Here is an 18,847-nt window from a genome sequence, read left to right as displayed (position 1 = left end):
GATGTTTATAGCAGAAATGGCAAGATAGGCTATATGTCTAAAAACTGCCCCTCACCCCTCCATGACAGACATCACTAATTTATCACGTAATCCAGAATCTTTCTCAAAAGAGTGCTGCAGGCAAGGTTGCAGAATAGAAGGTTCCACTGATCGTTCCCTCTTCCTCCCTCAGCAAGGACACTAATTTAGCAACTATCTACACACAAAAAAAGTAGCTTTGTAAGCACCAAAAATCAGGTGAGCTCTCATAGTGCTTGGTTTTAACTTCATATTGCTGAAAGAGGCACTGAAGAAGTAGAAAAAAAAAAAAAACAGTTTTAAATCTCTGACGCCACCCCTCTCCCATCCCCCACCAATGGCAGCAGGGTGTGGAGAGCATTCCTAGGTGCCAGGGGAGAAAAGCACAGCAATTGTGAGGCATTGAACTTAGTGCTGTCCTATTATAGCATAAAAGAAAACTGGGCCAAACTCAGCTGATGCCCCACCCCATGGAGACAGCATTTATATTAGCTCTAGCCAAAAGGAAATCACCAATCCTGGTGGTCAGAACTTGAGTTCCCACAAGCCTTACCACTGCAAGCTAAAGTGCTCTAGGGCTCTAAATACACTTGAAAGTCAGTCTAGGCCACAAGGAGTGCAACTTTCAAGCAAGTTCTAGTTCTGAACTGGGCCCAGAGCCAGTACACTGGGGAGGCACATGGACTACTGAGATACCAGCTTGGGTGGCTAAGGGAGTTCTGGCACTACCCCTCCCCTAACCCCAGGCTGCAATTCTCACAGCTCCAAAAGAGGTCTCTTTCTTCCACTTAAGGAAAGGAGAAGAAGGAGAAGGAAGGAGTAGGAAGGATTTTGTCTTACATCTTGGATACCAGCACAGTCACAACAGGAGAGGGCACTAGTCAGCTCTGAGAGGCCGCCTTTCCAAGCTCTAGCTCCTGGATGGCATTTCTAGACATGCCCTAGGCCAGAAGGGAAACTACTGCCTTGAAGGGAAGGACATAGTCCTGGCAACATTCATCACCTGCTAACTAAAGAGTCCCTGGGCTCAGAATAACCAGCAGCAATACCCAGGTACATTGAAGACTTTGGATGAGACTCTGAGACTTGCCAATCAAAAGTCACCAAGTGGCTGAACGGATTGAAAAAACAAAAGGGATTCAATGATCTGTTGCTTACAAGAAACACACTTCACCAATAAAGACATAAGGCATATGTAGGCGGAAAATAAAGGGATGGGAAAAGATATTCCATGTCAATGGAAACCACAAAAGAGCAGGGCTAGTTATGCTTATATCAGGCAAAATAGATTTCAAGACAAAAACTATAGGAAGAGATAAAGAAGGTTACTATATAGTGAAAAAGGGGTCAATTCAGCAAGAGAATATAACAATTGTAAATATATATGCACCCAACACTGGAACACCCAGACATATAAATTAAATATTGTTAGAGCTAAAGAGAGATATAGACCCCATACAATAATAGCTGGAGACTTCAACACCACAATTTCACCATTGGACAGATCTTCCAGACAGAAAATTGGTAAAGAAACACGAGAGTTAATCTGCGCTATAGACCAAACAACAGCTGTAGAATACACATTATTTTCCACAGCACATGGGTCATTCTCAAGAGTAGACTATATGTTAAATCACTAAAAAGCCTGAAAACATTAAAACAAAATAAAATAATATAATATGAAGCATCATCTCTGACCATAATGGAATAAAACTAGAAATCAATAACAAGAGGAATTTTGGAAACTATACAAATACATGGAAATCAAACCATATGCTCCTGAATGACTGGTGGGTCAATGAAGAAATTAAGAAGAAAATTTAAAAGTTTCTTGAAACAAATGATAATAGAAACACAACATACCAAAATCTATGGGATACAGCAAAATCACTAAGAGGGAAGTTTATGGCTATTAGTACCTTCATTGAAAAAGAAGATAAACTTTAAATAAACAACTTAATGATGCATCTTAAAGAACTAGAAAAGGAAGAGCATAACAAACTCAAAATTAGTAGCAGAAAATAAATAATAAATATCAGAGCAGAAATAAATGAAATTGAGATGAAGAAAACAATACAAAATATCAATGAAACAAAAAGTTGGATTTTTGAAATGTCATGCAAAATTGACAAACCTTTAGCCAGACTAATAAAGAAGAGAGAAGACTCAAATAAATAAATTGTAAATAAATTGGAAATTACAGAAGAAAGGAACAAATTCCTAGATGCATACAATGTACCAAGATTGAACTATGACCAATAACAAATAACAAGAACTTATAATAAAATGTCTTCCAATAAAGAAAAGTTCAGGAACTGATGGCTTCTCTGCTGAATTATACCAAACATTTAATGAAGAACTAATATCATCTTACTCAAACTATTCTGAAAAATAGAGGAGGAGGGAATACTTCCAAACTCATTCTACGAGGCCAATATTATCCTGATACCAAAACCAGACAAAGACACATCCAAAAAATCAGAGTCTGTATTCACATGAAACAGACAATAATATTCGTTTTCTGCTTTGCCCATGGCTATGTTACCTCTTCAAACATCTGTCATAATAAGGTCTGAAGAGACATGGACCATCTGAACATTCTGTAGAATATCACATTGATCCATTTACATCAAAGATGTCATTAAGAGTCAACAAGAAGTGTCTAATACATTAGAGGCATTGGTAGGACACATACACTCTGGAGGGTGAGAGACAAACCCTGTGAAAATTCAGGAACATGCCACATCGGTAAAGTTTTTAGTGGTTCAGTAGTGAAAGTCTGCTAGAATACCACTCCCACCACTGCATTTTCAAGTAAAAGTTAAATTGCTGTATCTTACATTCTCAATCTCAATAAATAGAGCAAGATACCTGGTAGGCCTCTTTGTGTTTTGGAGGCAACACATTCCACATCTAGGAATATTTTTGGTCCCATATACTGAACTACATAGAAGTCTCACAGCTTTGAGTGGGCCTGGAGCAAGAAAGCAAGAAAGGGCTCTGCAGCATGTATGGGCTGCAGTATAAGCAACCCTACTACTTGAGGCATATGATCTGGTGGACCCCATGGTGCTGAATGTGTTAGTGGGGAAAGATACAGTTTGGAGTTGATGGATGCCCAAGCGAAAGAATCAGAATGCAGGCCCCTAGGGCTCTGAAGCAATGCCATCCATTTTCAGTACAAAGTTATACACCTTTTGAGAAACCCTTCCTAGAATGTTGCTGAGCCTTGGTCAAGATGGAACAGCTGATAATGGGGCACCAAATGTATTTGGAACTGACCATTATGAGCTAGATTATTGCCAATGCACTAAGTCATACACTCAGACGTGTCCCACAGCCTTCTATTGGAAAATGGAAATGGCACATCTGGGATCAAACCCATATGGGACTAGACTGGCATGAAGAGGCTGCATGAGCAAGTAGCACAGATGCCTCCATGTCACCCACCAGGGTTGTACCAGTGCCCTTGCATAGCTCACACTTATGGCTATATGGGGGTTCTCTATGACTAGCTGAAAGGGAGGTAAAAGGCCAATCCTGGCTGACAATGGGTTAGTTCCTTAAGTAGCTGTAAAGCAAAAATAGATGATCACTGAAGTACAGCTGAATTATGGGGTAGCCTTGGAAGACAGTGGAGAAGGAAGGTCTTCCCAATGAATGAAGCTGCAAGCAATGAATATGGTTATCTATTCGTGTGGAAGAAAAATTGGCCTAAGGTGTGAATATATGTATAGGTTTCTGCACAGTAGCCAATAGTCTAGCTGTGTGGACAGGGACCTGAATGAAAGGGACTTGGAGATTGGAAACAAGAGTCTGAGACAGAGACATGTGGTTGGGACTATGGGAGTGGGCACAATGTGTGAAGATTTTTGTGTCATGCGTTTAACACTAATTGGAAAGCATCAAGTACACAAGAAGCACTGAAAAAACAAATAGACAAGATAACTTGTCCAGTTGACATTATCCAGGCTTTGTCTTTGGATTAAGTACTGGCATGATGGGCACATGAATCGAGTGGCCACAGTGGCAGAGAGCAAGACTACTCATTAGCCAATAAAATGGACTACCAATTATCCTGGTAAATCTAGCTACTGCTGATTTTGAATGTCCAACTTGCTAACAAGAGAGACCAACAAGGAGCCCTCAATAGGTTACTAGGTCTTCAGGAGATTCGACTGGTTGATTTGTGGCAAGTTGACTACATTGGTTCCCCTCTGTCCTGCATCAGCCAGCTGTCCATCCTTCCAATGATGCACTTATTCTGGGTATAAGCTTTCCTTTCCTGATCTCTGAGTCATAGTCAACACAGCTAACTGTTATCTGGGGGCTTTTAGATTACCAAACAAGAATGGAAATCCCACAACATAGTATGTGATCAGGGGACCCACTTAATTGTGAAGGGGGTGTAGGATAGCTCTTGATCCTAGAACCTACTGTTTGTATTACATACTTCACCAGACAGAAGTAGCTGTACTTTTAGAGCCCTAGAATGAACTACTGAAGGAACATATGAAGTGCCACTTAAAGGTAATGCTCTGAAAGTTTAGGGTCCCATCCTTTAAAGTGCAGCATATGTGTTAAATCAGAGCCCACTTCATGGTGTTGGGTCCCTAACAGGAAGTATACATAGGTCTTAGAATCAAGGGGTACAGGAAGAAATGGCCTAAGTTAACATCACTCCCATTGACCCACTAACGGGCTTTGCACTTCTTCATCTGCACCTCTGTGCTCTTCAACTTGGAGGTCCTGGTCACCAAAGGAAGTGTACTTCTGCCAGGGAACATAGCAAAGGTACCATTGAACTAAAAGCTATGGCTGCCACCAGGGCACTTTGGACTCTTTGTGTCTAGGGACTAGCAGGCAAGAAGAGGAGTCACCATCTTGGCAAGAGTGATTGGTAGTGACTAGCAGATGGAGGTAGAGCTGTTTTTACACAATGAGAAAGGCAGGCATATGGGGAGAACACAGGCAATTTACTTGTAACTGTCAAGTTGTGATTGATGGCAGACAATTAGTGGATGGGGCCAGGGATGTTAAGCATCTTCAGCAGGCCCCCAACACAGGGTTGTTCAGATTATTTATGCTCTAGGGTGCCCTGCCCCTGCTGTTGTGGAAGGGTGAATGGGGGCTGAAATTGAGTCTTCATTATTGTCATGCAGACATACATCCTGGTTGTACAAAGACAAGGCAAGTATTGACTCTTTTCTGTACTACCCATGGGCTGTACCCTAGTATTAAATTATCCAGCTCAGAATTCCAATCATGCCTCTGTTGAGAAACACCATTAGGCTTTATGAGAGATTTGTGGTTTCTGTGCAATTCTAGTCAGACAGAGAACTGGGCAGAACTCTGCTCAGAAATAGAGTATGCACTTGGCTGGGTTCAGGCTCTTAGAAAATCAAACAGCTGAACAACAAAAGAAACTGCAACTTTGGGGATTAATCTAGGATACTCATAATTTCATTTCCAATAGTTTATTTTTATTGCTATGTTTCTGCTAAAGAGCAATAGTAAAAATGGAAAGTCACACTGTCATTTGGTTAATTGCTTTCTGAATATTGGAAAATGAGGTTTACTAATGTTAGAACAGAAGGAGCTCAGGGTATGGCATGCAGCAAGTGCTGAGAACATGCTTGAATGAATTGCCATTGTGGTTTGAAAAGGCTTTAAGAAAAACAAAACAAAATAAAACTTTTATTTTGAAATAATTAGAGACTCACAAGATGTTACAATAAATGGTACAGAAAGGTTTCATGTGCCTACCGCAAAGCATCCCCCAATGGTGACATCCTACATAACTCTAGGTAGACTTCATGGTTTAAAAGAGAATTACTACCCTTAACCTGACTTCTCTAGAACACAGAACATGATTGTGAGGGGTTATTAAGCAGTTATTATATCCTTGGCAAGGTTCTAAGTAGTTAGAATCATTAACTTGTTTAATCTCACAACAAACTGAGATAAAATCTCCATTTTATAGATGAACAAAATAAGAAAGGTTAGAACATTTTAAGATTTCAGAGAAAGTTAGAGGTGAAGCTGGGCTTTAACCCATACTATAGAAGTCAGTGCTCGACTGCCTTCAACACTGCCTTTTATTGTTTTCATTTATTTCTTTTTAGATTGATGTTGTGTCTTTTCTTCTTTATTCCCTAGACTAATGTGCAGATATGAGTCCCTGTCTTCTTCTCATCCCCTCATTCCCTTCTTTGGTTGCCCTTTTTATCTTTTGGCCCCTTCTACTTATAGGGCTATTCCACCCACAGAAGTTGCTTTTGCTCCTTTAGAAAACTAGGGAGATAAATCTCCCTTTTGTGCATCTTTTTTGGTGGGGAAGTGGTACAGGGTATTGCTGTCACTCAGGCTGGAGTGCAGTGGTGTGATCATGGCTTATTGCAGCCTCAACTTCCCAGGATCAAGTGATCCTCTTGCCTCAGCCTCCTGAGTAGTTGGGAACAGTACGTGACACCACACCTAGCTAACTTTTACTTTTTAAAAATTTTCATAGAGACGGGATCTCACTATGTTGCCCAGGCTGGTCTTGAACTCCCGGGCTCAAGTGATCCACTCACTTCAACCTCTCAAAGTGCTAGGATTACAGGTATGAGCCACTGCATCTCGCCCTTTCTGCATCTTCACTGTTAACAGAATAAAGCTGAGTCCCACAGCTTAGAATAAAAGCCTTCCACTATTTGGCTTTGCCTACTGCTACAGTTTGAATGTGTGCCCAAGAATTGGTGTGTTGGAAACTTAATTCCCAATGTGACAGTGGGGCCTAATGGGAAGCATTTAGGTTGAGCCCTCATGAATAGATTAATGCCATTATAAAAAGTGAATGGGCTCATCCTCTTTCTCCCTTTGGCCTTCTGCCACGTGAGGATCTAGGCAGCATGCAAGGCACCATCTTGGAAGAGAATGACCTAACCAGACACTGAACTTTCTGGCACCTGGACCTTAGACTTCCCAGCCTCCAGAACTGTGTCCTAATAAATTTCTGTTTATAAATTATACAGTCTGTGGCATTCCATCACAGCAGCACAAAACAAACTAATACAACTACCTCTTGTCAGGTCCCCATGTGGCATTTCAATGTTGAACACCATATTGATCATACATTTGTGCATCTAGATAGGTGTTCCCTCTGCTTGAAATACCCTCCCCCCATTTTCCAGCCTATTGAATTCCTATTTTTCTTTCAACACCTAGCTAATATGTCCCATGCTCCAGAAGCTTTCCTTGACCATTCACATGGTATAGTTCACCATACAATGTTATGTGACCCTCTGAGTCTTTCGCCTGTCTGTATTTGCTTTTTATTTTTCTACAGTTAACAAAAAAAGCATTGGCAAGCACATGGGATCTATAATCCAAAGTGTCAAAAGCTTGGAGAGGAAAAATCCTATGACTGTTCTAAGCTATAAGAAAAGTCCTTACTGAGAAGGTCAGATGTGAGCAGTCATTGAGAGCTGTGAGTTGTGATTGATCAAATAGGAATGTCATGAAGATTTTCATGGCACAAATGGACTGGATGAATGAACGGAATGGACTTGGGAGTTACTTGGATATTCTCTTTTGGCTTACTGATTCCTTAATTTTAAAAAACGGAAAGATTATTTTGTTTCTCTAGACCTAAGTGGTTATGTAAATAACAATAATCTATTCTGTTAGAATCTATTTTTCCCCTGGAGCTCAATCTTAAATAAGCCTATTTCTGAAAGTAGACTATCAGTGGAATTCTGCCACCGCATTTGTTAGTTGCTATTAAGCAAATGATGTTCAATGCTGATCAGTAAAAAGCTATTTAGTTACCTAAGTAATTGAGCACATTGCAGATAAACTGCTCCTAAATGATAATTAACAAGACCTTGGGAACAAAGGGTACACTTTAAAGGCTTAATCACCTCCATGTATTACTCTTGCTTTTAAAAATTTGTCCTGTGAAAGATCTTAGGAAATTTTAATACTCAGAAAAGCCGAAGTAGAGTCACAACAGGCTTTATTGTCCTTTGAGTGTTTCTTGTAAACATGAATGGGGTTCCAGTTGGAGCACAAAAGCGGGTGGACAAGGAAGAAGTCAAGAATGGGGCAATAGCTGAGCTTTTCAGTGAGGATTGGTCAGGTGAGAAAGGAATGCAGAATATTGATTCTAGGCACATATAACAGCATGAACAAAGTTATGGAGATGAGAAACTACTTGGCTTGTGTATATTAAGCATCTGTTTGTTATTGCTGAAGCCTAAATAGGAGCTAGGAAGTGGCAAAAATGGGTCTGCAGAAACAAGAAGAATCCAGACTTCTGGGTCTCACATGCCAATTAAAAGAGGATGTATTTTTTTATACTGTGAGAGTTGTTGAATGTTTATGTCTCCAAACATGTATTATAAATAGATTTCTTTAGTTGCTGTGGTGAGGATCAATTTGTTAGGTCCAATACTGGAATTACCATTTAATTAGGAAACTATGCAGAAGTTCAAGGAAGAAACGTATGTTAAATAACTGTAGGAATGTAGAGAGGATGTACATTGTGAAGCCTAGGACAACATTAAAAGAAATAGAAAAAGAGGCATAATTAATAAGCCAATAGTGGAGACAAAATGAAATCATAAAAAGCTCAATTAATCCAGGCTGAAATAGAAGGAAAAAAGGAAGAAAAATATAGATGGAACAAATAAAAGCAAGAAACCAGTGGTAGATTTCAATCCAAACACATCAATAATAACATTACATGTAAATTGCCTGAAACCCCAGTTAAAATCCAAACTCATTAACTTTTCATATTAATGATCCTATCCTCCTCTCTCCTCAGACTCACTTGATAGCACCACTGTCTGCTAGGGACACCCAAGCCAGGAACCCATAATACATAGTAGACTCTTCCCTCTACCTCACATTCAGAACATCTCAATACTCAGTCACCGCATCCTCCTTATTTTACCTTATTAAGTAGATCTCAAATTTGAATCCTCTCTGTATTCTTACTATTATTTGGCATACTCTAGGTACTGATGATTTCTTTCTTGAACTTCCGCAGTTTCCTAACTAATCTAAATGGTAATTCCAGTGCTGGACCTGCCAAATTGATCTTCCCTGCAGCAAGTAAAGACTGAGTATTAGATGTTTTATATAATATTATACAAATTCTTACATATTGTGAAGACTTAGACATTCAAATTCCTCATAAACTTTGTGCTATTGTTATCAGACATTTAAATTTTACATGGGTTATAAATCTCACTGCTACAATTTTTCTTCAAGTAGTCAATTACATTTTAGAGTCATTTAACATTAAGAAAAATGTGGCTTTTAATATTAATCTTTATTTTTACTATTTTCAGAGTTCTTCACATCTCTCTGTAGATAAAATTTCCGGTCTGGTTTCACATTCCTCTGTCAGAAGAACTTTCTTTAATGTTTCTTAAAGTACAGGTCTGCTGGTAAGGAATTCTCCCATTACAAAAATTTTGAATAGTCCTTATTGTATCTTCATTTTAAACAGGTATTTTTGCTAGATGTAGAATTCTGGGTGATAGTTGTCCCCCCAGCTGGCTTTGAAGATATGTTTTATCATCTGGCTTTAATTGCTTCAGATAAGAAGTCAGCTATAATTCTTGTCTTTACCTCTTTATATTAATTTAATTTTTAAAATGACAAAATAAGTGTACATATTCATGGGGCTACATGGTGATGTCTCAGTACATATAGTTATCAGAGTATAACTGGCATATCTATCATCTCTAGCATTTATCATTTTTTTGTGAGGATCATGCAATATTCTTTTAGTTATGTGAAACCATATATTATTGTTAACTATAGTAATTCTACAGTAATATGGAACACTAGAACTTATTCTAGTTCTATCTAGCTGTAATTTTGTATTCTTTAAGAATTTCTCTGATTTAATATGTTCATATATTTTCCACTGTCTTCCTTCAATTTCTTCTTTACCTTTATTTGGTACTTTGGATAAGTTATAGCTAGCTTTTTAAAATTTATTCTGCTTCAGGTTATTTAAGAATTTTGGATCTATGATTTGATGCTTTCATTATTTTTGGAGAATTCCAGCTATCATTCAGAGATTTCTTTTGCCCATTCTCTCTTCTCCTTCTGTAACTTCAATGACATATATTTTAGACTATTTGATATTGTCCCATCATTTTTAAATACTTTGTTCTCCTCATCCACTTTCTTTGTCCTTTTCTTACTGATTTTCACTTTGGGCAATTTTTATGGATCTATCTTCAGATTACCTAATTCTTCCTCTGGCTGTGTAAAGTCTACGATTCCTAGAATTAAATCTGTGAATTACTATTGTGATTTATTTCCCCCACACATTTCTACTTGAATCTTGCTTATAGTTTTTATCTTTCTGTGAAATCACTCAACTGTTCATCTATGTTGTCCACTTTTTTCCCCTGGAAACTTTAACCTATTAATCATGGTTATTTAGTAGGGAGAATGTTTTAAAGTGTTTATTTTGAAATCATTTAAGACCCATATTAAAGTTGCAAAAATAAGACAGAAGTTTCCCATGTACGCTCTACCTGGTCAATATCAGTATAATGATGAAAACCAGGAAATTGACATTGGTATAATACTGTTAACTAAACTATAGAATTATTTGCACATCACCAATTTTTACAAGCATGTCATATATCAATGAAATTTAATCTCACATACATATAAGGTCATGTCACTAACACCACAGTCGGGATAGAGAACAGTTCTACAACTGTCGAGAAATTCCCTTGTGCTATCCCTTTATAGCCACACTCCCTACCCACCCATTTCCTAGCAAACACTAATGTGTTCTTTATCATTATAGTTTTGTGATTTTAAGAATCTTACGTAAATGGAATTACAAAATATGCAACCTTTAAAAATTAGCTTTAAAAAATTCATCATAGGCCGGGCACGGTGGCTCACACCTGTAATCCCAGCACTTTGGGAGGCCGAGGCGGGTGGATCACGAGGTCGGGAGATCGAGACCATCCTGGCTAACACAGTGAAACCCCGTCTCTACTAAAAATACAAAAAAATTAGCCGGGCGTGGTGGCTGGCGCCTGTAATCCCAGCTACTCGGGAGGCTGAGGCAGGAGAATGGCGTGAACCCAGGAGGCGGAGCTTGCAGTGAGCTGAGGTTGCGCCACTGCACTCCAGCCTGGGAAACAGAGTGAGACTCCATCTCAAAAAAAAAAAAATAATTCATCATAATGCCTTTGAAATTCTTCTAAGGTGTGTGTATCATTTGTTTGTTCTTATTGCCGAATAGTTTTAAATTGTATAAATGTATTACAATATGTTTATTCACTCACTGAAATATGTTTGGGTTATTTTCAGTTTTTTGTTATTTCAAACAAGGCTGATATAAACATTCATGTACAGGTTTTTGTGTGAATATAAATTTTCATTTCTCTAGGACAAATACTCAGAAGTGGAATTGTTGGGCCACAGAGTAAGTAAATATATGTTTAACTTCATAAAAAACTGCCCAGCAGTTTTCCAATGTTGCTGCACCACTGTGTACTCCCACCAACAATGTATGAGAGAGACTGTGGTTGCACACACTTTCTAGCACTCAGGACTGTCAGTGTGTTTTCTTTTAGTTGTTCTACTAGATATGTAGTGATATTTCATCATGGCTTTATTTTTCATTTCTCTAATGACTAATCATGTTGAACATCTTTTTATTTTCAATTTGTTCATTTTTCTTTTCTTTTTTTAGAAATGATTTCAACTTTAATTTAGATTCAGGGGGTACATGTGCAGGCTTATTACATGGGTATATTGTGTGGTGCTGAGATTTGGGGTACGATTGATCCCATTACACAGGTACTGAGCATAATGCCCAATAGCTGGATTTTCATCCCTTGCTCTAGTTCTTCCTTTTCCCCTCTACTGTTGCCATCTTTATGTCCATGTGTATCCAAGGTTTAACTCCCACTTATAAATGAGAACATGTGGCATTTGGTTTTCTGTTTCTGCATTAATTCACTTAGGATAATGGCCTCCAGATGCATCCAAGTTGCTGTAAAGACATGATTTCATTCTTTTCTACGACTGCATAGTATTCCATTTTTTAATCCAATCCATTGATTGGCATTCAGGTTGATTCCATGTCTTTGGTATTGTGAATATACATAGTGCTATGATGAATATATGAGTGCATGCGTCCTTTTGGGAGAACAGTTTTCTTCTGTTTGGGTATATGCCCAGTAATGGGATTGCTAATTCAAATGGTAGTTAAGTTTTTTGAGAACTCTCCAGACTGCTTCCAACAGTGGAAGAACTAATTTACATTTCCATCAATAGTGTATAAACTGTTGAACACTTTTAAAGGTGCTTCTTTGCCATCCATATATCCTCTTTCATGAAGTATTTTTAATGTATTTTTCTTATTCATTGTAATTATTTTATTTAAAGTCCGTGTCTAATAGCTCCAACATTGGAGTCATGTCTCTGTTTGGTTCTGTTGATTGCTTTGGCTGTTAACAGTGGGTTGCATTTTCTTTTTGAGTCTCATGCATTTTGATTAAATGGCAAACATTTTGTGTAGAGTATATCAAATATTGAGATACATAGTATTTATGCATGGAAATGGGCACACTTCTTTAAGGTTGTTAGAGTGGGGTATTAAATCAATCTGCTTAGGAGTCTAGCTAGACTTGAGTTTTGTTGTTAGTAGGGTCATCCTCAGCCTCCTATGGGCTTCAGATTTTTCTTTGGATTTTCTATTAGCATAGTAGCTGAGACGCTGAAGGGTTTTAATGCCCCACTCTCTGCTTTCAGCTGTGCCTGTTTTGCTGTAATACTGCTACTGCTTGTTACTCAATGCTTGCTACTGGTGGTTTTAGGGCTTCTCTTTTGTCCCAGTTCAGCCACAGACCCATATAGGCCAGTGTGCCTGGGCCTTAGGGGTGGGGTATTCTCAGTGTTCCAATTCCTCCTCCCCATGAAAATCAAACTCCTGCCTTGTATCTGTGATGGGTGTTGCATATGAGAGAATTTCATGTCCTTACCTAGAAGTAGGAGACTTCCAATGGTATTGGTGTTGCCATTTCTGGCCTCCGTCCCCAAGGGATAGGGTTTTCTCAGTCATTTATCTGCCTTTATTAGTGCTCTGTGGGGCAACAGTGTTTGTTCCCACACTGACTTAAGTTTTTTGTTTGGGGAAGTGTCTAGGAAGGAGGGTAGTATTTCATACCTTTCCTGTAGGTGTGGTCTAAACTCTCCTGCACACTTGCGTATAGTCTCTGTAACAGCTACTCAAATCTGCCATTGTAGAGTGGAAGCAACCATAGACAATTCTGTAACTGGATGGGCCTGGCTGTAATCCAATAAAACTTTATTTATAAAAATAAGCTGCAGGATGGATTTGGCCTGTAGGCTGGAGTTTGCAGACCTCTGGTCTAGAGAATAAATTCCAAATGTCCTACTGTGACTTTCCTTCTTCTCAAGTCTGATCTTTTCTCATTCTATTTTAAATTTGTACTTTAAGAAAAACACTTTCAACCAGCACATTAATAATAGCAGCTGTTTAACTGATTAAAACATTGGTTAAAGAAATAACGCATACATACAAATCTACCCTAAAACATTTTGATAAAAACAAACATGCCTTTGTCGTTTGTTTAATGTAGAGCCAAGACTTTGATTTGATTTGATTCTTTTTTGCATAAAATACACTCACAATTTATCTTTTATAATTTCCAGTTTGGGTTTCTTTAAATTGGAGTAATCAGTTGACATACCAGCAAAGCAATCTAAGGCAGAATCTCATTGCAGAGATTTTTATAATGTTCCTTCATCTTTCATAGTTGCATCTCCTGAGCTTAGTTCTATTGCAGTTCACTAAAAAAAAGTCAAGTCTTTCTAAAGGGAAAGCATATAAATTGACAGGTTTGTTAAGTCTAATAATATCCTGCTAGTCATGGGAGTTTAGTTAGTCAGGGTGTTTGCTGAGAGAATGGAGAGCGTTGAGTGATCAGTTGAGGCAGTGAAGAAGATGCAGTTGAGAGTTTCCTTGGCCATACCCAACTGTTCACTCTGCCATGCCATTTCTTTATGCTGCTCCATTGGTGTGGGAAGCTCTTTATACACCTCTACCTGAAGAATATCCATTTCCTCAAGGTTTAATTCAAGGTTACCTCCTTTATAACACCTTTTCTGAGTACTGAGATTGGCTTGGTTATTCCCACTTCTGTGTATCTTCCTACCCTACTATTATAGTACCTATAATACATGAACACATTATTTTTTTTTGTATTTCTTTCCTATTCCACTATACTATGGGATAACAGAGATTATTATTTTTAGTTCAGCTCTACCTCTCCAGGCCCTAAAACTGTGATATTACATAGTAACAGCTTGGTAAATTTCCATTAAATGAAGTAGTACATTATTACTGCTGTTGCTTGATTGGCTGACTGTAGCATGGGTGATTTCATACAGCAGATGGAACCACATTAATCATCTCGTTCAATGAAGATTAAAATAATGATTACAGAATAAAGATGCTGGAAGGAAAAGTGTGATTGGAAATTTTGATCCCTAAGCAGATTTCTAAAAGAGCTCCCTGCATTTTAAGATCTCTGCTAGATTGTAAGCTTCTGATTGGCAGTGGCTGTGCCTTGCTCATGTTTATAGTTTTATCTTTTTTCATAGTGCCTGGCAAGATACTCAGTGCTTGCTAGATAAAGGAAGAAATGTTGTCCAATTAAACATATTTGCAAACTTCCTTAAAACACAAAGGTCACTAGTGTAGGATTCACCCTGTGTAAAGGGCAAGTTGAGTCCCATGTCTTAGATTCCTGCTTTCTCTCAGTTGCTGTTTGCACTTTCCCCTGCATAGCAGAGCCATAGAATAATGAATACGTAGCAAGCTGAGTAACTCTTTTTCTTGAGATGACTCGTACATGAACATTTGTCACACTAAATAAGGGAGATATTGAATATAAACACAATTTTTATGAAGACATTGAAATTTCTGATAATATAAGGTCCTTTTATCCTTAATTGTGGTGTTGCAGATGACCTCTGGCTTTCCTGAAGGGACACTGTGGGTAACAATATCAACTGTGTATCTCAGAGTATGCAATGCTTCCAGCTCAACTCAATGTCTTTAGTGTTGTTTTTAAAGCGAGTGTGTATATATAATAATAGCTTGCTTGCTTTTGGTTGCACAAAAAACTATTTTTGATATTGATAAAGGTCCCTCTTCTACTTTTCTTTTTTAAACACTGAATGCTGAGAACACTGTAAATGGCACAAGTCTTGAAGAACTTGTGTGAAACTTTGTTTAATGATAAAACTGAATGGCCCAACCTGATGTCAGGTACTTAGCCAATTAAAATTATTTCTCCAAAAGTATATGTCTATGTTTTGGGCTCATTTTACAATATTAATATGATTCTGGCACTGTGTCCTTCGCCAAGATGAAGTACCAGCTAAGCCTAATGGTCTAAACTGTCAACTCCCCGGCTCTTTATTAATCCTGGGGAAGTGGCTCACACCTCAGTCATTACTGCTCAATTAGGTAAATAATCATCACATTTATTCTCATTAGAGCACTCTCTTCACAGAAAGCTTTGGTCCTAAGATTTTCAATTAGTCTTAACAAGTTACAAATGCCGCTAGTGTCTCCCTTTCTCCATTAGTTCCCCCAACCAAATAAAAAGCTTGTGTCTAATTAAGGAAACCCAAGTCCTCGTAAAACTTACTCTCTTTGCCTCTGTTGTATTCAGAAACCAAGAAGCTCATTAAATGAGGCAACTGGCCTACCTGAGTTGTTGGTTATTGCTGGGCCACAAAAAACTCCTGTGCTCATAAGCACAAGCATCAGGTTCAGCAATAACAGGTGTTTTCTTAAAACAAGACATTGAGCCTCCACTATTTCTCCTCCTCACTCCACTTAAGGGGAAATTTCTTGAGGCATGGTAGCATGTAATTATCATTGCACAAGATCATTGCACAACATGGGGCTCAAACTGACTCTGAATATAAGACATAGACAACTTGTTTTCTCTTTTAAAGGATGCTATTTTCCTAATAAAAAGAATTCACAGAAATGATCTGGGATGTTTAGAAATCCAAGAGAAGGAGAGGAGAGTTCCATTTTCACTTATCCAAGAGGCAGGCTCTTCAAATGTCTTTTTCCCTTTGCCCAAGGAGAGCTAAGGGGTAGCAGGCTGAGATGGAAGTGGTAAATTGTAACAAAAAAATATTTGTTTCTCATCTCATTCTGCTGCAATCAGGTACACGCTTGTACATAGGGAAATGAGGCAGACATAGAGATATGCTGCTCAGATCCCCCTTCAAGAAAGACCTTGCTGTCCAGCTGTGAGGTATATGGTTTGCTGACATCCTCCAGCTGTTAGATTCCTCAGGGTTTGCCTCAGCTTTTTAGCTGGGATCATGCTATTCTTGGTACAACCTCTACCAATGACTAAGTTATAGTAGAAGAGTCTAATCATTTATACCCAACATGGAAATCCTAAAGGATTCCTGAGCTGCCAGAGACTGTCAGGTTAATGTCAGGCTCTGATGGGTCCTCCAGCCCAATCTTACTTCTTCCCTTTGCTTTCACAGGAGTGACTTCTCCCCAGATTTTTGTATACCTGACTCTGTTTCAGCATCCGCTTCCCAAAGAATGCAGTGTGAAGCAGGAGGTAAGGGAGGAAGGGGCCCAAGATCATTTCATTTTCTAGGGGTGGTCTTTGTGGTTGCCTCTGTTGCATAATGTAAGATCTTAGCAAAAATCCCATTTATTCAAAACTAAAGCCAGTGAGAAAGCTACTAGGATGCTAGAAATTACTACGTGATGATGACTGCTATGCTGAGTCTGTCTGTCAAGTAGCCTACATGCCTATGTTTAGGCATCACACTGGCTCCTCTTAGAGGTCTAAGAATCACTGATTCTTTGTAGAGATGTTATTGAGGACATTTTAGTGCTGTTTCATCAAAGTACTGAATATAAAGCTCCGTAGTATCAGTTTTCTTGATCAAGAAACATCTTGCTGTGCATTTCCCTCAAGATTACAACAAATTATATTTAGTCAGTTTTGCCCTTAGTTTTAGCCACTAACTAGGAAGCACAAAATAAAATATGATGGGTTGCAGTAACTTTGCAGTAACTCTAAGCTTAAATTTGACTTTTTTCCTCTGCAGTTATGATTTGATATTTTCCATGCCCTTTCTATTTCATTTCTTATTTTTCATTGTGTTGGGTATGTTCTTACATGCATGGGCAGTACACAGCATGGCTACTGGAGCCCGACTGTGGGATTTTGAATGTTGGCTCTGCTACATGACAGCTGTGCTATCTTGGGCTTGCTACTGACCACACGGAATCCAGGGCTCTTTGTAAAATTGTAATAAGAATGCCTGATTTATAGGGCTACTGTGAAGGTTAAATGAGATAGTTTATGTAAAATGTTTAGTAAAATGCTTGCCCTATAAAACCTGGGTAGCTGTTGTTGGTGCTGATGCAATGAATAGGGCCAATAACTAGACAGAGAGCTGCAAGAACTGGGGATGAGATGGTGTGTCTTAACATAAGTCCTAGACTCCTTGCCAACTTGCTAGAATAATGTTTTCTGCAAAAATTGACACATAAGAAGTAGAGGCTTTCTTTAAACTAGATCTAAAATGAAGACTGGCTATTTTATTTGCTATAATGCATGCCAGCTAATCCAATATATTTGATTAACACACTTGATCAGTCTAATATATTAGATTCTCACTATGGAAACAGTGGTGATTAAATTAACTGATGGCGGATAAGGTGAAAAGAACTAAGCCAATCCTTGAGAGACTAGAACACAAGATAGATTAGTTCAGGGATTGGGCCACTATTTATTAACAGGATTGCTACTTATGGGGCAATTCTGTGTTAGGATAGATGGTCCTGTGCAGGAAATTTGGCATGCCTGGGCTGTGCTTACTAAATGCCAGAAGTAACCCCTGCTGCCCCAGTCTTTGTGATAACTCCAAATATCCCACCATTTCCAAATGCCCCAGGACTGCTTCCTGTGAAGAACTATTGAGGTGTGGAAGGACATCTAGTGGTAGATTGGGAATATGACCCAGCATTTCTAGGTCAGTTTCAGTTTATACCCGCCATGATTATGCCTGTGGCCCTTTCTCTTAAATATGCCATGGTTTTACTTGGCTCATTGGAGATGGCTGATTCCTGGCCTGGGGCTGGGAAAAGGACAAGATAAGCCTGGAACATCATGTTGTGCTGGCAAGTGAGGACATGCCCAAAAATGCTGAGAAACATGTCAACAGAAACACGCACCAAATTGTAGGGCTCTTGCTGACCCCAGTCAGCAATCTAGGCATAAAAAGAAATAACTATGGCAACAAATTATAACCCACAGAATAAAAGAAGAACCTATGATGTAAATTTAAAAATGGGAGAGAAGGGAAATTTCTTCCTTAAAGTAGAGAGACTGCTAATAAGTATAGAAGAAATAATGAAATTAGAAAATCATCATTTGGAAACCTTTATAGCATTGATTCAGACAGGAATCTACACTGTATGGTAAGTGCTGTGAGTGAAAGTTTAAGGAGTATCAGGATGGCTATGTACTCTTAAAATACTTGTCAGTTGCAAAAGGAAAAATAGTATCTTTACAGTGGAGAAATCTGACAATAACATCACTAGTAATGGGACAAATTGATATACTGTGTCTGCTGATACTATATACTAAGAGGAACATAGCATCATTCCTGGTGTATAACTCTCAAAAGCACATAACCTTAATCTATTCAGAAGGAAACATCACACAAACCCAAAGTGAGAGAAACTCCACAAAATATCTAACCT

The 18,847-nt window shown here is 38.5% G+C and overlaps 1 protein-coding gene and 1 long non-coding RNA gene across 6 annotated transcripts in view; one reads left to right on the top strand and one right to left on the bottom strand.

Annotated features, from left to right (window-relative positions):
• Positions 1-18,847, top strand: part of NPSR1-AS1 (NPSR1 antisense RNA 1) — a 487,820-nt gene that overhangs the window by 56,535 nt on the left and 412,438 nt on the right. The window contains exon 2 of the long non-coding RNA NR_015356.2: positions 9,357-9,455. This is a non-coding gene — a long non-coding RNA (NPSR1 antisense RNA 1). The remainder of the gene's footprint in view (positions 1-9,356; positions 9,456-18,847) is intronic.
• NPSR1 (neuropeptide S receptor 1) overlaps positions 1-18,847 on the bottom strand; it is a 220,115-nt gene that overhangs the window by 100,536 nt on the left and 100,732 nt on the right. The gene's annotated exons all lie outside the window — the stretch shown is intronic.

This window comes from Homo sapiens, chromosome 7, assembly GCF_000001405.40.
Source record: "Homo sapiens chromosome 7, GRCh38.p14 Primary Assembly".
Classification (NCBI taxonomy): domain Eukaryota; kingdom Metazoa; phylum Chordata; class Mammalia; order Primates; family Hominidae; genus Homo; species Homo sapiens.
This window is presented reverse-complemented; position numbering and strand designations above follow the sequence as displayed.